The 26,131-nt window shown below is 35.9% G+C and overlaps 1 protein-coding gene across 13 annotated transcripts in view; it reads left to right on the top strand.

Annotated features, from left to right (window-relative positions):
- ANKRD28 (ankyrin repeat domain 28) overlaps window positions 1-26,131 on the top strand; it is a 192,579-nt gene that overhangs the window by 25,582 nt on the left and 140,866 nt on the right. For 6 of the 13 annotated variants that reach the window (XM_047447810.1, NM_001349279.2, XM_024453419.2 and 3 more), the window contains one exon: window positions 19,924-19,993. The exons of the other annotated variants lie outside the window; for them this stretch is intronic. In XM_047447810.1, the coding sequence (XP_047303766.1) occupies window positions 19,976-19,993 (18 nt within the window). In that variant the 5' untranslated portion in view covers window positions 19,924-19,975. Of the gene's footprint in view, window positions 1-19,923; window positions 19,994-26,131 lie in introns of those variants that run through there. 13 annotated transcript variants of the gene reach the window in all.

Genomic DNA, 26,131 nt, shown 5'->3' with positions numbered 1-26,131 from the left:
AAGATTAACTCAAGATGGATTAAAGAGCTAAACATAAGACCTGAAACTATAAAAATACTGAAGAAAACCTGAGAAAAATTCTGGACATTGGTCTAGGCAAATAATTTATAACCAAGTCCTCAAAAACAAAAATACACAAATGAGACAATTTTAAAAAAGCTTTCACACAGTAAAAGAAACAGTGAACAGAGTAAACATACAACCTACAGAAAGGGGAAAAAATATGTGCAAAATGTGAAAACTGCATCTGACAAAAGGCTAATATCCAGAATCTACAAGGAACTTAAGAAAAAAACAAACATTAAAAAATGGGCAAATAACACAAACAGACATTTTCCAAAAGAAGACATACAAGTGGCCAAAAAACATGAAAAAATCCTCAACATCATTAGTCATAAAAGAAATACAAATTAATCCACTTATGCCTAGTGTTCCATTATTGGAACACTAAGCATGTGGGAGTTATTTATATCCTACTGCTCAAGGTCATTGCCAAGTTCTGATTTTTCACTCATAATTGCAGCTTCCAGCATAAATGGGTTAAAACCATCTTATATGAGTCAGAATGGTTAGTTACTATTAAAAGGTCAAAAAAACAACAGATGTTGCCAAGGGTGCTGTATTAGGGTTCTCTAGAGGGACAGAACTAATAGGAGATATATATATACACACACACATTATATATATAAAAAATAATGTATATATTTTATATATATATAGTACATAATATGTAGTATATTTTTATATATTATATATATATGAAGGGGAGTTTAAGTATTAACTCACATGATCACAAGGTCCCACAGTAGGGCATCTGCCAGCTGAGGAGCAAGGATAGCCAGTCCGAGCCCCAAAACTGAATAACTTGGAGTCCAATGCTTGAGGGCAGGAAGTATCCAGCACAGGAGAAAGATGTAGGATGGGAGGCTACACCAGTCTAGTCTTTTCACGTTTTTCTGCCTACTTCATATTCCAGCTGTGCTGACAGCTGATTAGATGGTGCCTACTCAGATTAAGGGTAGATCCGCCTTTCCCAGCCCACTGACTTAAATGTTAATCTCCTTTGGCAGCACCCTCACAGACACACCCTGGATCAATACTTTGCATCCTTCAATCCAATCAAGTTGACACTCAGTTTTAACCATCACAGGTGTGAAGAAAAGGGAATGCTTATACACTATACACTATTGGTGGGAATGTAAGTTAGTAAAATCCTTATGGAAAATAGTATGGAGATTTCTCAAAGAACTAAAAATAGTGATACCATTTGATTCTGCAGTCCCACTACTGTGAATATACCCTAAGGGAAAGAAATCATGTCAAAAAGGTATCTACACTGGTATGTTTATTGCAGCGCTATTCACCGTAGCATATACGTGGAATCAGCCTAAATATCCATCAACAGAAGATTGGATAAAGAAAATGTGGTGTATATGTATAAAGAATGAAATCATGTCTTTTGCAGCAAACATGGATGGAATTGGAGCCCATTATCCTCCGTGAAATAACTTGGAAACATAGTCAAATACTGCATGTTCTCACTTCTAAATGGGAGCTAAACAAGGGTATATGGGACATACCAAGGGGATAACAGATATTAGAAACTACAAAAGGTGGGAGGTGGGCAAGGGTTGAAAAATCACCTGTTGGATACAGTGTTCACTATTTAGGTGATCTCTACACTAAAAGCGCACTTCATCACAATGCAGTAAGTGCATGTAAGAAATCTGCAGTGTATCCCCTAAATTTATTTTTAAAATTTAGCATAATGTTTTCATTGAACTGATGGAAATTAGAATTGAAACTGGGAGGGAATTTACCTAATCTTGAGCTTAAAGATTCCCAAAGAGTAGGGAGAGACACTTTTGCTCAGCACCCCTACACATAAGGAATTTTAAATGTAGGTATGTAATTATGTCACAGGCTTTCTAAATAATAAAATGCAAAATAATATTTTCACTTACCACATTTAACTTTGAATGTATTTCTGCAGATATTGCTGAGAATGCAGAGAAATTTCTTCCTTTATTCTATTTATTTCCCTGTAGCACTATCTGAAGTGATCTTATTTGTCTATATGTTTATGAAATGTCTCACTCTACTGGAATGTGAGTTCTTCAAGGGCAAATACGATGTCTTTTATTTACTGCTGTGTCTCCAGCACCTGTAACAATGCTTTGGCATATAGTGGACACTCAATTGCTGGATAAATAATGAATTCTGATTAAGTGTGTCTGAGATAGGACCCTGGCACCTATATTTTTAAAAACTACTGGGGGTTATTTTGATGTATACTCCCAAGGTTGAAGAAAACTAGTCTATCTTCCCTCTGTGGTGTGCATAAGATACAGAAAATATATATGTATCCTTATTTAAAGATCATTGTTAGAGGCTTCTCCTTCTCTTGAAATTGGTAATCTGACTGAGTTCCCCAGAAGGAAGAGTTTTTAGTTCACCACTTCTATCCAGATATTTTTTGAAGGTAGAACTCAGAATGTGCAATTGCTTTCCATCATCAAATAATTAACATTAGGAAAGGCAGGAAGGTAGAGCTAAAAGTGAATTTATTCCCTTTTTTTGTAAAAGATAAGGCAAGGTCAGACTACCTAGGTGAGTTTCCTGAAACAGTGATTTTCAATATTGAGGGGAGAGCGATTTTTCTCCTCAGGGGAATTTGACAGTGTCTGGAGACATTTTTTGTTGTTACCACTGGGAAGGAGGGAAGGATACTATTGGCACCTATTGGACAGAGGCCAGGGATGCTGCTAAACATCCTACTGTGGACAGGACGTTCCTCTATAACAAAGAATCATTTGGTGAGAATCCCTGCTCTAAAACAAGCTGCTTGGAGAAGGGGCTGGTAGTTATGTGGAGTTTGGCAGTGCAATTTGGATCTGTGCACATATGCACAATAGTTTTTGGTCTTGGGCAAAACAGTGTCTTGTGTAGAGAAACATGTAGGTGGGGATTGGCTTTTGTTATATATACTCAGGAGTTTGATCTTGACCAGCTTGTTTAGTTTGTGGGAGATTGTGCACTCTCAGATTTGATAATTTGCTTAGAAAGACTCACAGAACTCAGCAAAGCAGTTAAATTAATGGTATGGTTTATTACATCAAAAGAATACGGATTAAAACCAACAGTGGGTAAAGGTGCATAGGACAGAGGTCCAGGAGAGTTTCAGGCGTGAACTTCCAGATGTCCTCTCCTAATGGGGTTGTGCAGACAGTGCTTACTTTTCCCAGCAACAATATATGGTGACACGCAAGGAGTATTGCCAACCAAGGCCACCCACGTGAGGTTTGCTGTCCAGAGTTTTTATTGAGAAGTCAGTCACATAGGTATGGTTGACCACACCTGTGGCTGATGTTAGTCTCCATCCCCTCCAGAGGTCAAGCTGATACTCCGTGACTTAAAGGTCCCACCAAGAATCATATTGTTAGACTATCTGTCATGGACCAAAGCCCCCAGGTAAACAACGACTCTTTATCAAGCAGGACATTCCAAGGGGTTAGCAGTTACCTCCTAGGAGCTGAGCAAGGGCCAAACCTTTCTTTGGCCAAAATTAATCCATTACTGCAGCAGTCCCCAGTGTTTTTGGCACCAGGGACCAGTTTCGTGGAAGACAATTTTTCCGTGGATGGGGGTGCGGTGGGGGGTGGGATGGTTTTGAGATGAAACTGTTCCACCTCAGATCATCAGGCATTAGTTAGAGTGTTGTAAAAAGCACATAACCTAGATCCCTCAGATGTGCAATTCAAAATAGGATTGGCAGTCCTATGAGAATCTAATGCTGCGCTACTCTGACAGGAGTCAGAGTTGAGGTGGTAATGCTTGCTTGCCCGCTGCTCACCTCCTGCTATCCAGCCCAGTTTCTGACAGGCCATGAATGGCTAGCAGTCCTCAGTCCAGGGGTTAGGGACCCTGGTCTAAGAGACTTCTCATAGTGTGGTCCATGAACCCCTGGGAGTCCCTAAAGTCAAAACTGTTATCATAATAATAAAATGTTATATGCGTTTTTTACTTCGACATTCGCATTAATGGTACAAAAGTAATAGTACTTACTGCTGATGTATTAGGAATCAAGTTAGTGGCACCAGACTGTGTTTTTCACTGCCTTGCTTACAGTTAAGGGGAGGGAAAAGCCTATTTCCCTTAAGATTGTTTTTAAGTATAAATTACTTACATTACACTTCACCCTGGGGTGTCTGTATGATAAAATGAGTATATGCTGCACAGGAAAAATGCTTATGTGATTGAGTTGCTAGCTGGACTAGACTTTTTTTTTTTTTTAATAGAATACCTTTTTACTTGAAAAAACAACTAACATTATGGTTATTCAGATTTGGCTCTTTGGCAAACCTTTTATTGAAAATATTCCTTGAAAAGGAACAAAGTGAACTTGTCACTTCAAGGAAAGCCACTGTCAATATTTGTTACAGATGATGAAATTTGAGCTTCCAAGCAAAATTAGAATTTGAGTAAATCTGTATCGGCCACCTTGAGCTTGCTACCTTTACAGAGCTTAAAGATGTTTTGTGGTGGCTTTGGTAGTAATATTAATAAATATGACTTTTGATATTGTATATCATGAAACGTGTCAGTAATTGAAGACCTTCGTAAACCAGTGAACCAGCATTTTCCAAATTACTGATATATGATATTGTAAAATGACACATGGGTTAAAAAAGATCCATTCAAAGTTCAGTTAGACCAATGGATTTTAATGTGAAAAAAGTACTAAAAGCTCATTCATATGGCTTCATAATTCACATTATAGTTAACTTCTAAGAGATATCACTTGTCAAGCTTTGATGTAATATCAAAGATTGTCCACAAGTATCTAAAAATATGCTACCATGAGTATAGATTTTCTTCATATACTTGAACCATGATAACTTATTGCAGCAAATTGAATGCAAAAGCAGCTGTGAGATTCCACCTATTTTCTGTTAAGCCAGACATGAACAGTGCTACTTAATTTTTTAAAAAAATAATTATTTTAATAAAGTTATTTATATTGGTATGTAGTGGATATATTAGTAAATAAATTAAAAATAATACTTTTAAGCAATTCGGTAGTTTTGATTTTGAATACAGTAGACATCAGTAGAAATAATCCTCATAAGCAAAACTTTTTGGGCTCTTCAATAATTTAAAAATGTGAAGAGGTCTTAAGACCAAAAATTTTAAAAACAGCCTTCTAATATTGGTCCTGCAGATATCTAAGTTTGTCTCTCTTGCTGGGTATGGTTACTACAGGCTAGGAGATTTAAATTCCTTGGGCTTTGTTGGAAAGTTCTGGCTATATATTTCAGACGTGAATGTACTTTCTGCAGATGTTTTCTTATCTATATAAAATTAAGCAGAGTTACCTTGATTTAGAGTCTTGGTCTTGATTACACATTTATAAAGGGTAAGTTTGGTTTGTGCTTTGGTAAGGTTTCAAGAAATATCTGTGAAGTCAGTGAACAAGTGCAGCGTGGTGCAAACCTGTGGAGGATACAGAGGAAATCGGGAAAATCTGTCAGAGATTAGGTTAAAAATGTGAAGGCAATAATCCCCCCCACCCCCCCAGATACTAATATTTTTGTTAAGCTGGTGTTATAGAAAGAATTGAGGTCAGGAGTTCAAGACCAGCCTGGCCAACATGGTGAAACCCCATCTCTACTGAAAATACAAAGGGTCTCAAAGTACTGCATATAAAAAATTCAAGCCCACAGTTTATCTTCATGGTTTAGAGAAACAGAAAACATATTTAGAATAAAGCTGTAGTGTACTGACTACTAAAGTACTCCTATCATGTCACCTTTTTATGAGTATGCAATCTCTTACATGTAAGGTGTTTAACTTCATGTTTCTGCCCACCTCCCAAAGTGCTGTGATTACAGGCATGAGCCACCGCGTCCAGCCCTAACTTCATGTTTCTCTGAGACTTTCAGAAGGTAATAATTTTTCCATAATCATTCGCCTGTTTTGACCTCTAGAAAATAACTTATTTACCATTCCCTGCAATTCTTTGTCATTCTTTCAGATCTAATTCTCCATTCATCAGATCTGTAAGTGATGCTTTTTTAGCCATATGAAGTCAAAATTTAATCATATTAAATTCTGCCATATATTTTATACATTAACTCTAAATAACTTTCAGGATCACTTCCATAGTACCTACTAACAATTTTTAATAATAGCTATTCTCGTGTATGAAGTGGTATTTCATGACTTTGGTTTGCATATCCCTAATGATTTGTGATGTTGAACATCTTTTCATGTTGTTGATTGGCCATTTGTATACCTTTTGATAAATGTCTATTCAAGTCCCTTGTCCATTTAAAAATTTGTTGTTTAATTGTAGGATTTCTTTATATATTCTGGATATTAATCCCTTGTCAGATTTGTAATTTGCTAATATTTTCTCCTGTTCTCTGCATTGCCTTTTCACTCTGTTGATAGTATCCTTCTCTGCATAAAAGTTTTAAACTTTGACAAAGTCCAATTTAACTTTTTTCTTTTGTTGCCTGTGGTTCTGGTGCCATAGCCAAGGAATCACTGCCAAATCCAATGTCATGAAGCTTTTCCCCTGTGTTTTCTTCTAAGAGTTTTACAGTTTTAGCTCTTACTTTGAGGGTCCCAGGGCCATTCAATGGGGGCAAAAGACAGTCTTTTCAACAAATGATGTTGGGGAAACTAGATTTCCCCACATGCAAAAGAATAAATGTGATCCCTTACCTCACAAAAATTAACTCAAAATGCATCAAAGTAAGGGCTAAAATTAATGCAGTGACAGGACTTCCTCCTCCTTTAAGGCTGAATAGTATCCCAGGGTGTACATATACCACTTTTTTTTCATTTATTGATGGACACTTAGGTTGATTCTATGTTTTGGCTATTTTGAATAATGCTGTAATGAAAGTGTGAGTGCACATATCTCTTTGACATACTGCTTTCATTTCTTTTGGTTATATACCCTGTAGTGGGATTACTGGATCATATGGCAATTTTATTTTTAATTTTTTGAGGAACCTTCATACTGTTTTCCATAATGGCTGTACTAATTTACATTCCTCCCCAACAGTGGGTAGGGGTTCTCTTTTCTCCACATCTTTGCCAGCACTTACCTTTCTTTCATCTTTTTGGTAGAAGCTGTTCTAACAGGTGTGAGATGATATCTCATGGTTTTAATTTGCCTTTCCCTGGTGATGAGAGAGTGAACTTTTTAAAAAATATATACTTGGCCATTTGTGTCTTCATTTGAGAAATGTCTAATATAGGAGATTTTAAAGAAAGGAGAATGACCTACAGGCATACCGTACTTGCATAACTGTATGAAGAACTCTGTAGTCCTAATTTGTATGTATATGTAATATTGATCTCTCCCTTGCACTTTCATGGCTTTAGTTCCTGCTGCTGTCATTTCTTATTGGACTAATGCAGTAGTTCTCTGGCCAGTCTACTCTTCTCCAATTTTGCCGCCATTTCAGTTCATCTTCTACACTCAGACCAATCAGTGATCTTTCTTGAAAAATGGTTTTAATCAAATAGAAATGTTCAGACACACAGGATAAAATAAAATATAAACCTAACTACCTATCACTAGGAATAAACAGCTGTGAATACTTTGCCATATTTGCTTTGTGTCTCTTAAAGAATGAAATATTTACATATATAACTAGAGCTCTGCTCCCCTTTTTTCCTAGGTAACCACCTTGGAAGTTAGCTTTTATCATCTAGGCTTTTTTCACTTATACTGTGTTTACATATCCATAAACAGTATAATATTACTGTTATGTTTTCTAAAATTTTAAATTAATGGTATGCTTTATGTATCTTTTTATCACTGCTTTTAAAATTTATCCATGATAATACATTTGTTGTAATTTCTATATATCTGTATCTTTGGGGATACCCCAAAAGCCCTGATTTGACCACTACACAATCTGTGCGTGTAACAAAATTGCACTTGTGCCTGATAAATCTATACAAATAAAAATAATAGTTGCTGTATATCTGATACAAATAAACTGCTGTTTATCTATTTTCTTAACTTTCTATAGTTAGGTATCTTCTAGTTTTAGTTATTACAAATAGTGATGTAGAAATTCTAGTATAATGTGTATCTTTTTTTGTACAGTTTCTCTGAGATAGATATGTGGAGGTAAAATTGCTGGGTCATAGGATATAGACATGTTCACCTTTATTATGTAATTATTATTTTCTTCAGAGGGGCTGTACTGATTATATTGTCACAAGCAATTGAGTAAGAGTCATTCTTTACTCTCAAACTTGCCGATAATTATTTTAGTTTGACTTTCATTTTGGCATTCTGATGTATATGAGTGATACTTTGTTTTAATTTGTGTTTCCTGGATTTCTAAAGAGATAAAATATATTTTTACATATTTTTGACAAGTTAGATGTTTTTTGTGAATTGCCTATTTTTTCTTTGCTTTGTAGTGGTAAGTATATATCTCTATTATCTATCTATCTGTAGGTAGGCTATGAATCTTTTATTGGTTTTGTTATACCTCTCAATCTGTGGCTAGTCTACTTTGTTTTAGGGGTCACTCATTCAGAACTTTTAAATTATAGTATGATCATTCTTATCAATCTTTTATGGGTTTTTCCCCCTTTTTTGTGTTGTGTAAGAAACAAGGTCTTAAAAAATATTCTGTTTCTTCTAAAAATTTGCAAATTTTTTTTCCATTTAGTTTTCTGAATGACCTAGAATTTTATTCTTGTATACGATGTGCAGTTCAGCCTTCCTCCCCCACCGCCCCGAATTGGCTCTTTACTCTTTGGTCTTCCATATAAATTTTTAAAACATTTTGAAGTGCCATGAAAACTGTTGAGCATCACTGATATTCCATTGAGATTATGGATTTAATTTGAAAAATTAGCGTTGTACAGTATTGAATCCAGAAAAGGCAGATGTTTCTTAATGCAACAGCTGCTTCCAACCTCATGCCTATCGTCTGCCCATGAATTTACTCCCAGTTGCCATCAGACAAGAATTGCTTTTCTTTCTCTTCATTTAATCTTGCATGCGTGAGCCTCATTGGCAGACACTATCCTTAAATCATTCCATAAAAAGAGATTCTGGGAAATGTAGTTTAAGATTTCTGCCCTGTGATGTGGAGAGTACTGGTAACGCAAATTTTACAACAGATAAGCCAAGCATATCAAATCTATTCTTGATTTTCTCCCCCTTTTAACACACAAGTTGGCTTATTTGATTGTTTTGTACTACCCCTCACCCCCAATATATCTTGGAGATCTTTTTCAGTGGGATGTGCATTGAAAATTTTGCTAGTGATTGCCAGTTGCACAGAGGCTGTATCAATGTATATTTCTACCAGTCTGTCCTCCTGCATCCTGGTCAACTTTGCATCCTGCCCTCTATTAGGAATGCCTTTTACCAATGAGTTTAAACCAACTCCTTGTTCTGTAAAAGTAAGTCGTTTTGACATAAGTGATACCTGATAGCAAATGTGCACATGCACACACTCAGCACACCAATAGTGTGTTTTATTATTTGTAAATATTTTCCTTGTGTCCATTTTTAGGCCTGGGCCTTCTTAGTCATCAAACTATCAGAGCTAATTTTTTCCTAAGTTTTATTCTTTCTGATGCTAAATAGAATTGCTTTCTTAATTTCTTATTTTTGGATTGTTCATTGCTGGTATATAGAAAAGCAACAGATTTTGTGACTTTATCTTATATTCTGCAACTTTGCTGAATTTGTTCATTAGCTCTGATAGTTTGTTTTTTTTAATTCTTGGCCAAGCATAGTAGCTCACACCTATAATCCCAGCACTATGGGAGGCCGAGGCAGGCAGATCACTTAAGCTCAGGAGTTCAAGACCAGCCTGGGCAACGTGGTGAAATGCCGTCACTATCAAAAATACAAAAAACTAGCCGGCTGTGGTGGCACATGCCTATGGTCCCAGCTACTCAGGAGGCTGAAGTGGGAGGATCGCTTGAGCCCAGGAGGCGGAGGTTGCAGTGAGCTGAGATGGCGCCTGCATGACAGAATGAGACCCAATCTCAAAGAAAACAAAACAAAACATTCTTTAGGATTTTCTATGTATAACATCATATCTGCAAATAGAGATGATTTTTTGGTTTGTTTTATGACTTTCCAATTTGAATGGCTTTTATTTCTTACCTAGTTGATCTAGTTAAAACTTGTAGAACAGTGTTGAATAAAAGTGGTGAAAAGTGGCATCTTTATCTCTCTCCTGATCTTTGAAAGAAAGCATTGAGTTTTTCACCCTTAACTGTGATATTAGCTGTGGGTTTTTAAATAAACGATCTTTATCATGGTAAAGAAGTTCCCTTCTATGATGTTGAGTGTTTTTTATCATGAAAACGTAGTGGATTTTATAAATGCTTTTTCTTTGCATCAGTTGAGATTATAATGTTTTTATTCCTTTCATTTTATTAATGTGATATATTAAATATTTTAAAGTGTACAACCACCCTTACATTCCTGGTATAAGTCCCACTTGGACATGGTCTACAATTCTTTCAATATGCTGCTGAATTTGGTTTGCTAGTATTTTATTGAAAATTTTTACATAATCATAAGGGATGTTAGTTTATTGTTTCCTCATGATGTCTTTTTCTAGTTTTGGTATGAAGTGTCTAGTTTTGGCCTCAAGAAATGTGGATATCCAGTTGTCCTAGCGCTATTTGTTGAAGAATATTCAAGTTCTCCCTCTTCTTTTATTTTGAGAAGAATTTATGTTGATTCTTTAAATTTTTGGTAGACTTCATCAGCAAAGCCATGTAGTCCTAGGCATTTCTTTGTTGGGAGGTTTTAATTCTTTATTCAATCTCTTTATTTGTTATAGCAGGGGTCCGCGACTGCCAGGCCACAGATGGTCCACGGCCCATTAGGAACTGGCTGCACAGCAGGAGGTGAGCGGCCTTCAAGGGAGCATTACTGCCTGAGCTCTGCCTCCTGTCAGATCAGTGGCAGCATTAGATTCTCATAGGAAGCCTATTGTAAACTGTGCATGCAAGAGATCTAGGTTGTGCACTCCTTAGGAGAATCTAATGCCTGATGATTTGAGGTGAAACGATTTCAGCCCAACGCCCCCCGCTCCATGGAAAAATTGTCTTTCACAACACCAGTCCCTGGTGCAAAACAAGGTGGGGGACCACTGTGTTATAGGACTGTTCAGTTTTCTATTTCTTGGGTCAGTTTTGATAGTTTGTATGTTTCTAGGAATTTGTCCATTTTGTATAAATAGGCTAGTTGGCTTACAATTAAAATAGTAATCTTTCATAAGGTCAGTAGTAATGTGCCTACTTTTGTTTTTTATTTTAGTAATGTGGGTCTTCTTTTTGTCAGTCTAGCTAAAAGCTTATCAGTTTTGTTGATGTTTTCAAAGAACTAGCTATTTTCTATTTTAATTATTTTATTCTTTAGCTCCAGAATTTCTATTTAGTTCCTTTCTGTGACTTCTATTTTTTAACATCAATATTCTCTAATTGGTGAGATGACATTCTGGTTCCCTTTAGTTCATTGTCCAGGGTTTTTTTTTTAGTTCTGTGAGCATATTTAAGGCAGTTGATTTAAAGTCTTTGTCTAGTAAATTCAGTGTCTGGCCTTCCTCTGGGACAATTTCTGTTAATTTCTTTTTCTCTTGTGACCAGGATATAGTTTGATCTTTATTTGCATGCCTCAGATGTTTTTGTTGGAAATTGGATATTTTGAATATTGTAGCTGGAGAGCCAATGTTTCCCCCTCCCTGGGGATTGTTATTGCTGCTTGTTCTGGTGGTTGTTTAATGAGTCTTTTAAAACTATTTTTGTAAAGTCTGTGTTCTTCATTGTGTTTGTCCACTGAATTCTCTGTTCATTCTCTTGGCAATCGGCTATAATTTGGCAGAGGTTTTCCTAAATGCCTCGATCTCCCCCCAACAACTCCCCAAAAAAGCCCAAACAAAAACAAACTCTCCTAGATTTTAGAAATTGCTTCTGTGTTGGGGTACATAATGCTCAGCCAAGCTTCTTACAGTTCTGTCCTAGTCTTCACTTTTTACTTGCGCAGAGCTGAAAGGTCAGCCAGAGGTGAAAGTTTAGGGTCTTCATGAGTCTTCTCTGAGCATATGGCCAGTCCTGGACACGCATGTGGCCTCTAGGTTTTCTATTATATATGGGAGCTTTCAAAACCTTTATTTTCATATGCATCTCCTTCTCCAGCTTCTTCCTTCCTGGGTCTTTAGATGTTTATTGTTTGCCCCAGTTGTTACCTGTTACACACAGATGAGAGAGATATGCTTTTGACAGACACCACTGGGAAAGATGCTTCAGTACTAGGAATCTCCAAGCATGGTGGAACAAAGACAAGCCCTTGACCCAATCCTTCAGGGAGCCACTACATAGTTCAAAACATACAACCACAGTTTTTTGAGAATAAGGTCCATATTAGTTTATCTGGTACCCACAACAGGCACCAGATGTGGGCTGCTATCATGGATGCTGCCATGTAGGGGGAGTTGGGAGTGGTGTGCAGTAAATTAAAATTCCACAGCGTTTTCCTATGAAAACCTAGCAGCATCTTTCTTCATTACATGTTCCTCTGGTTGTTATAAGGTTTTAATTGAATTCTAGAATTATGAAAATGTTGATTCTGGCTGTTTTGCCACCTATTCATTGCTTTGTGAAGGGATGGAGATTTGGAGTTCTTATTCTGCTATATATTGTGATGTTATTCCCACTTTTTTGAGTGAGCTGAATATAAGTAGATATAATGTTCATTATCTTGAGCCATGAAAAAGCCTAATTTGTTTAATATATTGTGTTTAAAAGTAAGGATTGTACATCTTTACATTTTCTAAAAGGTTAAGCCTTTCTTCAGATACTTGAATATTCCTGTTAACATAGAGAAAAATACCATTTGTCTGTTGCTGGCTAGTCATTTTATTGAAGTTGTTTTTGCCAGATTTTAAGGAACGTAACTACTGAGTTCCTTTTGCTTTTTGTAGTAAGCTCACCATTCTAAGAAATCATTAATTTAAATCAGTCTTTCTCAAATGAGGGGTGTTATTGTTCTCCAGGGGACATTTGGCAATATCTGGAAATATTTCTGGTCATCACAATTTAGGGGAATGAGTTATGCTACTGGCATCTAGTGGGTAGAGACCAGAGATGCTACTAAACATCCGGCAATGGATAGGAGTGGACCCCATGACAAAGAATTATATGTCCTAAAATGTTGGTAGTGCCAACATTGAGAAACCCTGATGTGGATTTACCAGATCTAGATTTCCTTAAATTGGTTCATATATGTATTGCTGTAAAGTTTAGTGACTAAATTTGGACCTAACCACTTTAACTTTTTCAGAAGGAAGTGTCAAAAAAGGAAAACAGTATTATCTGTGAATAGGGTAATAGGGAGATGTCAATCTAAAATTGCATTATTTTCTTTTTTTGTGATATCATCATATAATTGAATTTCTTTAATGTTAATAATTTAATTATTAAACTTTGTCATGCGGAAAAGACATTAATGAACCCCTGTGAATTAAGACCAGTTACCAATTTTACCATTCCTCAATGTCTTTGGAGTATTTTGAAGCAAAATTAATTTGCATTTCATTTTGTGTGTGTGTCAGATGTCTTGAAGGTTAGTTTGTTAGAATAGATCTAAACAGGATTTAAACATTGCATATGATTAGTTTCCTAAGTCTCTTTCTCTACTACGTTCCCCTTCCCTTTTAAAAAATGAATGTATTTATTGAAGAACTTGTGTCATTTGTTCTGTAGGATTTCCCACATTCTACTTTAGCTGATTGTATCTTCACAGTGTTGTTTAACATATTCCTCTTTTTTTTGGTAAATCAGTAGCTTTAAAGATTTTATTAGATTCCACTGTTGTTTGTTTTTAAGAAAGACTGTCAGGTATAATAAAGCAATTGTCAATATGCATATAGCCACCTATCACTTTATCCTGTATGCCATGTGTATTATAGGTTGATATATATGCATATATATACACACATACAGACATGTAGATAAACATACGTACATTATTGCACAAGTGGGTGCATAACAAGTTGCTCTATTCCTAGTGATAATACCAGTCTGTACAAATGTTGTCAACTTGATTCATCATGTTTCCTACCAACCCTTTACCTAATGTTTTCATTGGGGTTTAGCAAAAATTATTTTTCTTAAATTATTTCCTTTGTAGTACCATGTGACCAAATTAATATTCTATGTACATTCATTATATCTTGGTCATTTGCTTTTGCCTTTGAGGGAAGGAAATATTTTATTAACTCAGCTTGGTCAGTACAGTGCATTGCATATGATAACCATGCCCTATGATTGGTTCTAAACCTTAGCTCTGAATTAGAATCACTTGTTTGAAATTATAAATTCCCAGGCTCCACCCCTAATGATTTCTGATTGGTTTAACAGCCTTTGTGCTGGAAGAAAACAGACTGGCAGAGTAAAATGTATCTGTTTCACACATTTTAGTAATTTATTGAGGAAAGCATTGTTTTTTGTAATTCTTAATACATTGGTATGCATCTGATTCATCTGTGTAACTTGTAACAGGCAATCATAGTTCATGATTTACAAGGAATACAAACAGTATAATGTAAAAATTGTCTCTTCCATCTCTATTCACATCAATCCCAAGTCATCTGGTTTCCTGTACTGTAGCCAACCAATATTATTTTGTTTATACCTAGAGATTTTATGACTATATAAGCAAGTATCAGTTACCCTCATTTTCCAAATGAATTATCCAGTTGTTTCAGGTTGATTTGTTGGAAAGATAATATTTTACTGTCTTGAACTGCCTTTGTACCTTTGTCAGAAATCAGTTGACTATATATGTGTAGCTCTATTTATGGACTCTTCTGTCGCCTTCCATTGGATCTATATGTTTATTCTTACTCCAATATCACTATCTTTGCTTTCTTTCTTTTTTTTGAGAAAGGGTCTTGCTCTATTGCCCAGTTTAGAGTGCAGTGACATGCTCTCAGCTCACTACAGCTTTGACCTCCCAGGCTCAAGCAATCCTCCCACCTCAGCCTCCCAAGTAGCTGGGACTACAGGTGGACGCCATCATGCCTGCTTAATTTTTAATTTTTTTGTAGAGACAGGGTCTTGCCATGTTGCCTAGGCTGGTCTTGAACTCTTGGGCTCAAGCAGTCCTCCCACCTTGTCCTCCCAAAGCACTGGAATTATAGGCGTGAGCCAATATGCCTGGCCTTACTGGAGCACTCTAGTAGTATGAATCCCTCAATTTTATTGATTTTCAAAATTGCTTTGGTTTTTCTAATTTCTTTTCCTTTCCATATGAATTTCACATCAGTTTATTGATTTCTACAAAAAAGCCCACTGAGATTTTGACTGTGATTACTTTTCACCTATAAATTAAATGAGGAAAAATTGAAATTATAAGAATATTGAGTCTTCCCAACCATGAGCATGGTACAGTAGTTTCCCATTATCCACTGTTTTGGTTTCTATAGCTTGAAACACCTGCAGTCAATTATGGTCCAAAAATATTAAAGTATCTTGTGAGAGACCACATTCATCTCACTTTCATTTTACAGTGTGTTGTTAAAATTGTTCTATTTTATTATTAGTTGTTACTAATCTCTTATTTTACCTAATTTATCAGTTAAACTTTATCATAGGGTATGTATGTACAGGTTGAGTATTCCTAGTCTGAAATGCTTGGGACTAGATGTGTTTGTGATTTTGGAATATTTGCATAAATGTAATGAGAGATCTTGGAGATGGGACCCAAGTCTAAACACGAAATTCATTTGTTTCATATACATCTTATACGTGTAACCCAAAGGTAATTTTGTAAACTATTTTAAATTTGTGCATGAAACAAAGTTTCTGTTAAGTACTTATTTGTGGAATTTTCCACTTGTGGCGTCATATGAGCACTCAAAAAGTTTCAGAGTTTACAGCATTTCAGATTTTGAATTGCCAGATTAAGAATGTTCAACCTGTGTCGGACAAAACATAGTATATATAGGGTTCAGCACTACCTGAGATGTTTGGGCTTCCGTGGAGTGAGGGAGGGGTGGCATATATCCTCTGTGGATAACGGGGGAGCTCCTGTATCTGTTTTCTTTACGTTGTCTCTGATGTCTTTCATCAGTATTTTGTGATTTTCAGCATACATAATCTGTACATATTTTGTTGAATTTATACCTTAGTATTTTTGAGTTTTGGGGTATTATTATAAATGGTACTGCTTTTTGTTTTGATTTCCAGTTGTTCATTGGTAGTATGTAGAAACAGCAATGGTAATCTATGACTTTGCTAAACTTATTAATTCTAGGCATTTTTTAATAGATTCCATGGAATCTTCTATAAAGACAATCATGTTGTCTGTGAATGCAAGCACTTTTATTTCTTCCCTTCCAAACTATATATCCCTTATTCCTTCTACCCTTATGGCAGTGCTCTTTCTTTCAATATGATATTAAGTAAGAGTGATTAAGAGCAGGCATTCTTGCTTGTATCTCATCTTAGGAAGAAATTAGTGGTTTCCTGGTAATTTTATATTTATTTAAATATATAAATCTCAGTATAGCGATCACTTAGCAAAGGAATCTTAGTTAATTTTATTTACTAGGTTGCCCTCCAGTTTTCCTCATAGGATTCATCAACTGGTATATCTTGTGATTCCTAAGGAACTGTATGTCTGTCTGTCTCCCTCTGTCACAGATACACACAACAAACTTTTAGGAGAGCACTTATTGCACTGCTTTGTAGTTTACTTTTTATTTCTCTTTTCCCTTATTAGAAGGTGAGTACTTAGAGCAATAAGAAATGGTGCCTACCGGTAGCTCTAGGAACTTAATGTTGTGAGCAATTGATATTAGGTTGGACCATATGAAATTGCCGATGTTAGTTTATAACCTATAAAATTTTCTATCTAGTTGGGACAAAAACAAAATAACAAGGAAAAAAAAACCATGGTACTTCTACTGACAAGATAAAATCATCAGTATGTGAAATGTTTGTGCGTGAGAAATTGTTCATCACTGTTACATGTTAAGGAAAATCGTAGAGTGGACATACTGATGAAATGAGTGAGACACAGCCCCTACCTTAAACGATGCTCACTCTGTGGAAGACTGGGCCTTTACAGTATTCAGATGTGTGCTTTTGTTTGGGTTTCTTTTGGTTTTGGTTTTGTTTTCTTACAGAGACAGGGTTTTGCTGTGTTGTCCAGGCTGGTCTCCAACTCCTGAGCTGAAGTGATCCTCTCACTTTGGCCTCCCAAAGTGCTGGGATTACAGGCATGAGCCACTGTGGCTACCTCCCTCCTCTTTTTTAATAGAGATGGGTTTTCAGATGTGTTTTAACTCTATGATTAATCTATGCACAACCTATGCACATATTTACTCTCAGTTTGGATTTACTCATTATCCTAGCTTCCTATCTCTCAGTGTCTTGGATTATAAGACACTTTGGCAATAACTTCTATATATAAATTGAGACGATTGACATACTTTGATAATTTTATATGAAAAGATGCTCTTATACATTTTTCAGTTTCATGTAACTTAAATGTTTGTTAGTTAGCATCTAGTGGGTTAAATAGTGTAGTAAAATAAAGGGCACCAAACACTTTTCCTTTTGAAGCAACTTTATAGAACAGAAAGACTTTAAAGCAGTCATAGTCATAGCAGGAAAAATAAAACTTTCTTACTTGAATATTTCTGTGTAGTGTTTTTTAAATTGTAAATTATAGGTGAAGAGACACTGTAGTATTTTTTATCCTTAGGCTGTTAACTTAAGCTGGTCTTAATAACCCCATATTACAAATCAGGGAAAAGGAAATACATGAGAGATTTTGTGTAAGTTTCATGAAACCTGAAACTATTCTTGTGTTTACTGCTATATTCCGTGCATTTAGCATATAAATAGTTATTAACAAACAATTATTGAGTAAATATTTGTGGAGGTAGGAGGCTAGGCTAGGTGGATTTGGTTAAAGTAAGAAAATTTAATTTTTCTATAAGATATGTAAATTTTAGTTAATACAATGAAAATCATTGCAATTACATGTTGCCTGATAAGCATCAAGAGCCACATAGTTTTTGAGGCAGTTTGATTTGGTAAATGCCATAGTAACAGAAGGCGGTTTTCAATCAGTCAGAAATACGCTCGTGATATTGTTTTGAGCTTGACTATTAATATAACAAGATTAAAACATAATTATGAAAACCTGTAAAGCCTCTTCTATTTGAAACCTTTGTTTAAAATACATGACTCAGGGAAGACATTAACTTTTTAAATGGACGTACTCAAGAAATTAATTTTCTTTGGTATTTGCTGCCACCATATGGCAGACTAATTCTATTACCATATCTGTTACATGCTGTAGAACCTAAAATAATGTACCTTTAATATTTTCTGATGAGGTTGATTTGTTCATAAATAATTTTGACAAGGGAAGAAATAACAGATTTTTATGTTTAGAACTATAGCTGACCTTCCTCCAACTATCCAAGGATAGTTTATGTCTTCTAACATTTTAGAAGGCATTAATTACTACAATAGTAATTACTATAACAAAGATGATTCTTTGTCATAGCATTGATGACGATTCTTTCAGAACAATAAGAAGTGTGTGGGTGGTGCAGTGGCTCACTCATGTAACCCCAGCACTTTGGGAGGCCAAGGCAGGAGGATCGCTTGAGCCCAGGAGTTTGAGACCAGCCTAGGCAACATAATGAGACCCCATCTCTACAAACAAATTAAAAAATTAACTGGGTGAGGTTATGCATGCCTGTGGTCGCAGCTACTGAGGAGGCTGAGGTGGGAGGATCATTTGAACCCAGGAGGTTGAAACTACATTTGGGCCACTGTACTCCAACCTGGGTGACAGGGCAAAATTTTGTCATAAAAGAAAAACAAAAGAAATGTGGTTGGCCCCACACTTTTATGTAGGGAATGTAATTCTGACATTTGTTCTTTCTAGGTCATTGCACTTGAGAATTATGGCTCCATAATTTTTTAGGCCTAATTTTATTTATGTGAAGACAAGCCATTTCACTAAAATTAACTTGTGGGAATTTTATTTTTTATCTTGGGAAAAGTATTATACAAGAATATATAATATTCTTAGAAAAATTATTATATATGAATTTTAAAATAGAAGCAACCCAAATATTTACTCTTAGGAAATTAAATACAGTATTTTTGAATGGAATGTCATATTCAGGGTGTTGCGGAATATTTAAGGTCCACATTGTTAAATGAGGAGTGATGGAGACAAGCAAGTTACTAAATAATATGTATGTATTATCCTAACCTTTAAAAAAGTATATATATATACTTTTTATATATAATATATGTATAAAATTACCAGAGTTTTCTTTGAGAGATATTGCAGTGATTTCTTAAATTTATGTATTACTGAAATGAGTATGTTCTACATATTCAAAAAGCGTATAGATTGAATATTTTAAACTTTTCATAGGCAGTTTCTTAAATCAACACGTCCCCATGGGTAAATAATTGCTGATTAGTAAGTAACTGAATATATTATTAGTGAATGCATTTGAAAAGTTTGTGTGTGTATATGTGTGTGTGTGTGTTTGTGTTTAAGATTTATGAGAATGACTTGTTGCTAGGAATTCTAAGAAACAAACACCACTTTTTAAGTCTCTTCTGGGAAGCCAATTCTGTTTAATATATAAAGAAAGCCTTTAAAAAATGTTTTGTTGCCCAGATTAGTATTTTTTTTCTTGATAGAAGGATAAAAGTAAATTCTGAATTAATAAAATCCAAAGTAAGTTTTTGAATATTATCCAATAATTCAATGTTTTGTTAAGGTACTAGTTATTTATAAATAACATAGCCCTTAATTTCTAGGATCAGCGTATTCTTTCTTTTGATATCTGTTTTCTGCTACAGGCCTGTGATTGGAATTGAAACAGTACAACTGCCTCCACCAGAGGAAAATAGTATGGGAATTCCTATTATGGTAGGTTATTTTCTAGTAGTCTCTTGCAGTAATATAGGCAGCTCTTGTAATTTGTTAGTTTGTTGCTGTTTAAGCCTCCTTGTAACTTAGCTTTCATACATAACTGTATGTGAGTAAATAGTTAGTGTCAGCCAAAAAGTCCTTTATTGTAGAAACATTTATAGTAGTGGACCCTGTGTTAGTGGAAGACTTAGTATAGCCGTTTTATAATTCAAGTAAATTTTCAGTGGAGGGGGCTTATAAATCTAAGATCTCTGTCTTGGAGAAGAAAATGTTAAACAGCTGAAAATAATGGTATCGCAACTAGTTTTATTTATTTTGTTCTGAAATACTAAATTACTAAAGGTTTTCAAACTTTGGTTTAGATGTATGCATCCTTTTGCTCATAGCTCATTCTCTTACATGTTAAATGATTGTGCTGCACACTTTAAACATTAACAGTCATTCAGTAATCACTGGGGAACCTCAATTATTTGAGTGACTCCTATGTTTTCATGAAAGTAGTTTTTAAAAAATCTCACAACCTCCAGGTGTGTTGGACTGCAGGCACTAGTGAAGATAGGATAAGCTTGTTTGATATCATTGGTAGTATTTGTTAGGCTTCTTATGTCAGATTCAAACATATTGAAATATTTTTTAGAGTATAAAAGGAGAAAATTATGGCCCAGTAATTGATTTTTTTGTCATTACCAAGGTGCAGTATGCTGTACTTTTTGTTAAATATCTTATGATCCCAAACAGTAATACCATTTGATATCAAGTAGACTTGATGTAAAGTTGTTTCAGAACAAAGAATCATCCTTACTGGGTTTCTGTAATAATTTGTTTTTGGTTTCATTAAAGTTTTGGGGTTTTGGTTTTTGTTTTTTCCTTTGCAACAAGGTCTCACTGTTGCCCAGACTGGAGTGCAGCGGCATGTGATCAGGGCTGACTGCAGCCTCAACCTGCCGGGCTCAAGCGATCATCCCACCTCAGCCTCCCGAGTAGCTGGGACTACAGGTGCATGCCACCATGCCCGGTTAATTTTTGTATTTTTAGTAGAGATGGGGTTGTACCATGTTGCCCAGACTGGTCTTGAACACCTGGGCTCAAAAGTGAACTGCTCACCTCAGCCTCCCAAAGTGCTAGGATTACAGGCCTGAGCCATTGTATTAAACTTTTTAATTTTTTCTCTAAAAAAAAAAAAAAAAAAGGAGGTGATTAAAAAGCTGTTATGTTGGAAACTGCAGATTTTATTCATCTGTTTTCTGATAGGATAGGGGTAGATTATTGGGAACACACCGTTTACCTGATTGTTTTCTTCAAATTGGAGTGAATCGGGTCACATTCAGGATTCATGTTCCTTTTAGAAATTCTGAATTCTTTATGAAATCTCTGATTGTGAATCTTTACCTGGCCTTTTCAGGAGGGTCTAGATTACCTACCCATGATCACCTTTTAAAAAAGTACATAGAATGACTTATTTGTTGTTCTGTGGGATGGCTGTTGGTAACTAGAGTTCCATTGGAAATTCACCCCCTCACACACTTTTTAAACCATTTTCTAGCCTGTGGCTTAATAAAGGCTTTAGATGAATTTTAACAATGCCCCTATCCTAATTCTGTTCCCAAACGAGCATTTGGATAATTGGTAAGCAAGACAGAAAAACAACAACGAAATGCCAACTTAATATAGTAAAATTTGATTAAGAAAATGGTAACAAATAGCAGATACCCTCAGTATTATATAGCCAGTTTACCTTTTCTTTCCTGGAATGTGTGTTGGAGAAAAGGCAGAGTCACAAATCATTTAGCTAATTTTGCTTTTAATAACTGTATAAATTGTAATTATCATCTTTTACCACTGGATGGTGCTTTTCCATTGGTTACTGCAAACCCTTTCTAAATTTACCTAAGGGCACCATTTGAAAATTCATTTAAAAAACAAATGAAATTAAGATAATGGTATAGTTTCCCATCTCAGCCTCCCAAGTAGCTGGGACTACAGGTGTACACCGCTGTGCCCAGCTCTATGATGCCATCTTTGATTATCATCTTAGAAACATTTTATTGTTGTTTTGGGTTTCGTTTTGTTTTGTTTTGTTTTGTTTGCCAGAGTCTCACTCTGTTGCCCAGGCTGGAGTGCAGTGCCTCAATCTCAGCTCACTGCAACCTCAGCCTCCTGGGTTCAAGCGATTCTCCGACCTCAGCCTCCTGAGTAGCTGGGACTACAGGTGCGTACCACCACGCCTGGCTAATTTTTCTATTTTTAGTAAAGATAGGGTTTTGCTGTGTTGGCCAGACTGGTCTTGAACTCCTAACTGAAGTGATCCACCCACCTTGACCTCCCAAAGTGCTGGGATTACAGGCGTGAGCCACTGTGCCTGGCTTAGAAACATTTTAAATGTATTAACTTTTTAGGTGGTACTATCATTTACATGGCATCTATAGAAAACCACAATTTCTTAATTTATAAGGTTAAAATAAAGGTTTTAAAAAAATTGTCCCTGGCCAGGCGCAGTGGCTCACACCTGTAATCCCAGTACTTTGGGAGGCCAAGGTGGGCGGATCACGAGGTCAAGAGATCAAGACCATCCTGGCCAACATGGTGAAACCCCGTCTCTACCAAAAATACAAAAATTAGCTGGGCATGGTGGCGTGCACCTGCAGTCCCAGCTCCTCTGGAGGCTGAGGCAGGAGAATCGCTTGAACCCAGGAGACAGAGGTTGCAGTGACCTGAGATTGTGCCACTGCACTCCAGCCTGGGCAACAGAGCAAGACTCTATCTCAAAATAAAGAAAAATTGTCCCTGGTAATTATTTTGTCTTTTCTCCTATCCAGTAGCTGTTCAGACTCCTTTCACTGAAGCCCTTTTATTTCACAAATACTATTTTCAAATTCTGCTTTTTTAGCTACCAAATGACTTTTTGTTAGCTACCCTACTTAAATGAGTTGAGTACTTAAGTCTATAGAGTCTATTTGTGATTGTAACAGATTATGGAGATCTTAATTCAGGGAAATAATTTCTTCTAATAAAGCATTCTCTTATTCTTTTAAAGATCAAAATAAAACAGACTCTAGAATAACAGTGTCCCTTAACAACTTACTCTGAGGCCTTGTTTCTCCAGTCTGGTGTGCTGTTATTTCCTTTTCTGTTCTTTGTAGGGTTATTTAGATAAAAAATAAAGTCATAAAAACAAGCATCTTAAACTACCCTGTTCTGTAGTCTGCTCTTCATTTGCTATTTTATAGCTTTTGAGTTATGAATTTATAGGGGATTGTAGGTCAGCAAGTTTAAAGTCACTCACAGTAGGCTTGGTTTGCCTTTGAGTCTCAGGCTTACAGGAGTTATGGGTTAAATGACTGGCTTTGCAGGTTTGCTTCTTGGCAGTGAGTCTTCACATAGGCAGTGTTCAAGTTGTGGTCTTAACTCTTAGAATGTGAACTTTGTCATGTAACCACTCTAGGCCTTATTTTTCTTACCTATAAAGTTGTGATTTTGTTTAGCAAATAAGGATCATGGCTAAGGACAATGTTACTTAGGGGAAAAAAAAAAAAAAGGAGAGAACAAATTACTCATAATCCTGCCACTGACCTAACTCATGTAGTGTTGATGCTAAAAATGAAAAAGAAAAAAAGTCTTCTATTTAACGTAATTAAGATTATTTTGTTTATACTGCAGTGTTGTATTCCATATAATATTTTTTAGTATATCCCATGTTTTAGAAATTCTTTAAAGATTTTATTTTTAAATATTAGATATAGTTTCACTGTGTGATATATACTGTATTTTAAATCATTTTATTGTTCAGCATTTAAATTTTCAGTCTTTTGTTGTAAATAATGCTTCACTGAAATCTTGATATGTAAATTTTTATAGGCCTCACATTATTTTCTTATGTCTCAGTTCCTACAAGTAGAAATGCTAGCTTAAAGTTTGAAATACTTATCAATGGTATTGATAGCTGTTGGCAAGTTTTTTTTTTTTCTCCCAGAGAAGTTGTCCCAGTTTACTGTTTCACCATCCTACATGGCCTCTGGTTTAAACTAATTGTGATAGCCTACTGACTGTTTTCTCTGCCTTTAGTATCACCTTATTTTTAGGTCATCCTGACACTGTATGCACAGTAAGTTCTTTAAGATACAAGTCTTATTTTATAACTTTTTGCCTTAAAATTCTATAGGTTAAAGTGTATTTACTCGGTGTCATTCAACACCCTTCATGATCTCGCTGCTGTCTAATTTTCCACCTTATTTTATGCAAACCTATACATTTTGTGGATGAGGAGGTGGGAGGGGGATGTGCTAGGCAGAGGAAACAGCATCTGCAAGGGCATAGCTGCATGTAGTGGCATGGTATACTTGAATTGCAACAAGCACATTGATATATGTGAAACTTAAAGGCAGGCTGCTGGAAGTCTTTAGTATAGCATACTCAAACAAAATAGTTGACTAAATAAAAGTAGACAACATTTTATCTATGATTTAGAAAAGTAACTGGTGGTGTAGATAATTGTTAATCAGGACTTTTGGTTACAAATGACAGAAATCCAACTCAAATTGGCTTAAATGCAAAAGTATATTTACTGGCCAGGCAAGCAGAGCTAGATCCAGGACTTGGTGACAGTGGGTTTCCCATCCTCCCCCATTCTTTCATTCCTCCTATGAGCAGTTTTTGCTTACTGGGATTGTGTCCTCACAATCCCGAAAGAAAAGAGAGTATTTTTCTCTGATAGCCTTGGCAGGAAAGTGAAGTCCTGAGGAAGACATTGTCTAGTTTCAGTCATGTGCTCTTTCCTGAACGAGACATGTTGTTAGGGGTGGGTAGTACTCTGGTCAGGCTTGGGTTTCTTGTATGTCTCAGGACCAGAGACTCTCCTTAAAGGAAAGGATCTGTGTGAAAGTACCTGTGTCTGTTACAAGGATGTATAGAACTAGAAGGAGAGTCAACAGTTGAGAGGCTAGTTAGGAGGTAGTTATGATAGCTTAGGTGAGGACTGAAGTGGGTTTGAATTAGGTCACTGTGAAGACAGAGTTTAGGAAAACTTTATGTAAAATGCATAGAACTTGGTGACTGACTAAAAGTGGGAGATGAAGTAAGGGAAGGCTACTGTGTGTTGGGCTACTTTGTACATGGTGATGCCATTACTATTAACCAACATGGGAATTCAGAAAAAGAACACTTTGGGGAAGTGGACTGCAGATGATAAGTAGAATTTTGACATGAGATTGTCCAAAAAGAGATTAAAAGGAGCTAGAAAAAAAAAAGGGGGGTGTGTGTAGAAGAAAAACCAAGTGAAAAGGACCAGAAAAGGGACCAGAAAAATAGGTAAAAATATTATGGACGCAACAAGAAGAGAGGTTATTGCCCAATATTGTAGAGTAGTTGAGAATAATGATGATTTTGTAATAAATTATCATTGATGACCTTGGAGCAATTTCATTTGATTGGTGGAAAGCTAGATTGCAGTGGGTCGAAACAATTAAAAACAAACAAACAAACAAAAGGAGTGGTAGCTTGGTGAAGAGGCAGGAAAGCTTTCTATAGGCCAAAATAAAGGAACAGAAGGTTAAACCAAAGCTGTAAGAAAGGAATCAGAATTGAAAAAGTAAGGTCTATTAGAAGATAGATACAGTCTTGAATGAACCTTTTCCTCTGCAACTACAAGGTCTTCCCATTAGACTGCAAAGTCTTGAAGATTTGATGCCTGAGATGTAAGAAGTACTTAATAAATGAAAGATGACTATTGAATAAATGAAAGATCATAGAGAAAAAGTTGAAAATACAAATATGCTTGGAGACAAAGCAGAGGGAAGTTGATAGGATTCATCTTTGTTTTCTTTTTTCCTCTCTGAGGTAGAAAGCCAGGGGATAAGGCCTTTCTCCAACTTACCTTAAAGCATTGCTGTGAGGAACCAGTGGGAAGATCGATGTGAAACATTGTTAAACTAGAAGGTATTGGTCAAATGGAAGGAAGTAATACTTCATTTCTGGCATCTTAATTTTGAATAGGACTTCAAATCCGTTGATATTTGGTTCTCACCAGCTCAAAAACCCCATTTGCTTCCTTAACAACTGCTAATTTAACTTCTCTTAGGTGTCTGGTGTGTGGGAAGAGCCAAGCTTCGGAGACAGATGGGTCTGGGTTAGAATCCAGTT

The sequence above is a fragment of the Homo sapiens genome, chromosome 3 (genome assembly GCF_000001405.40).
Source record: "Homo sapiens chromosome 3, GRCh38.p14 Primary Assembly".
In the NCBI taxonomy this organism is placed as follows: domain Eukaryota; kingdom Metazoa; phylum Chordata; class Mammalia; order Primates; family Hominidae; genus Homo; species Homo sapiens.
This window is presented reverse-complemented; position numbering and strand designations above follow the sequence as displayed.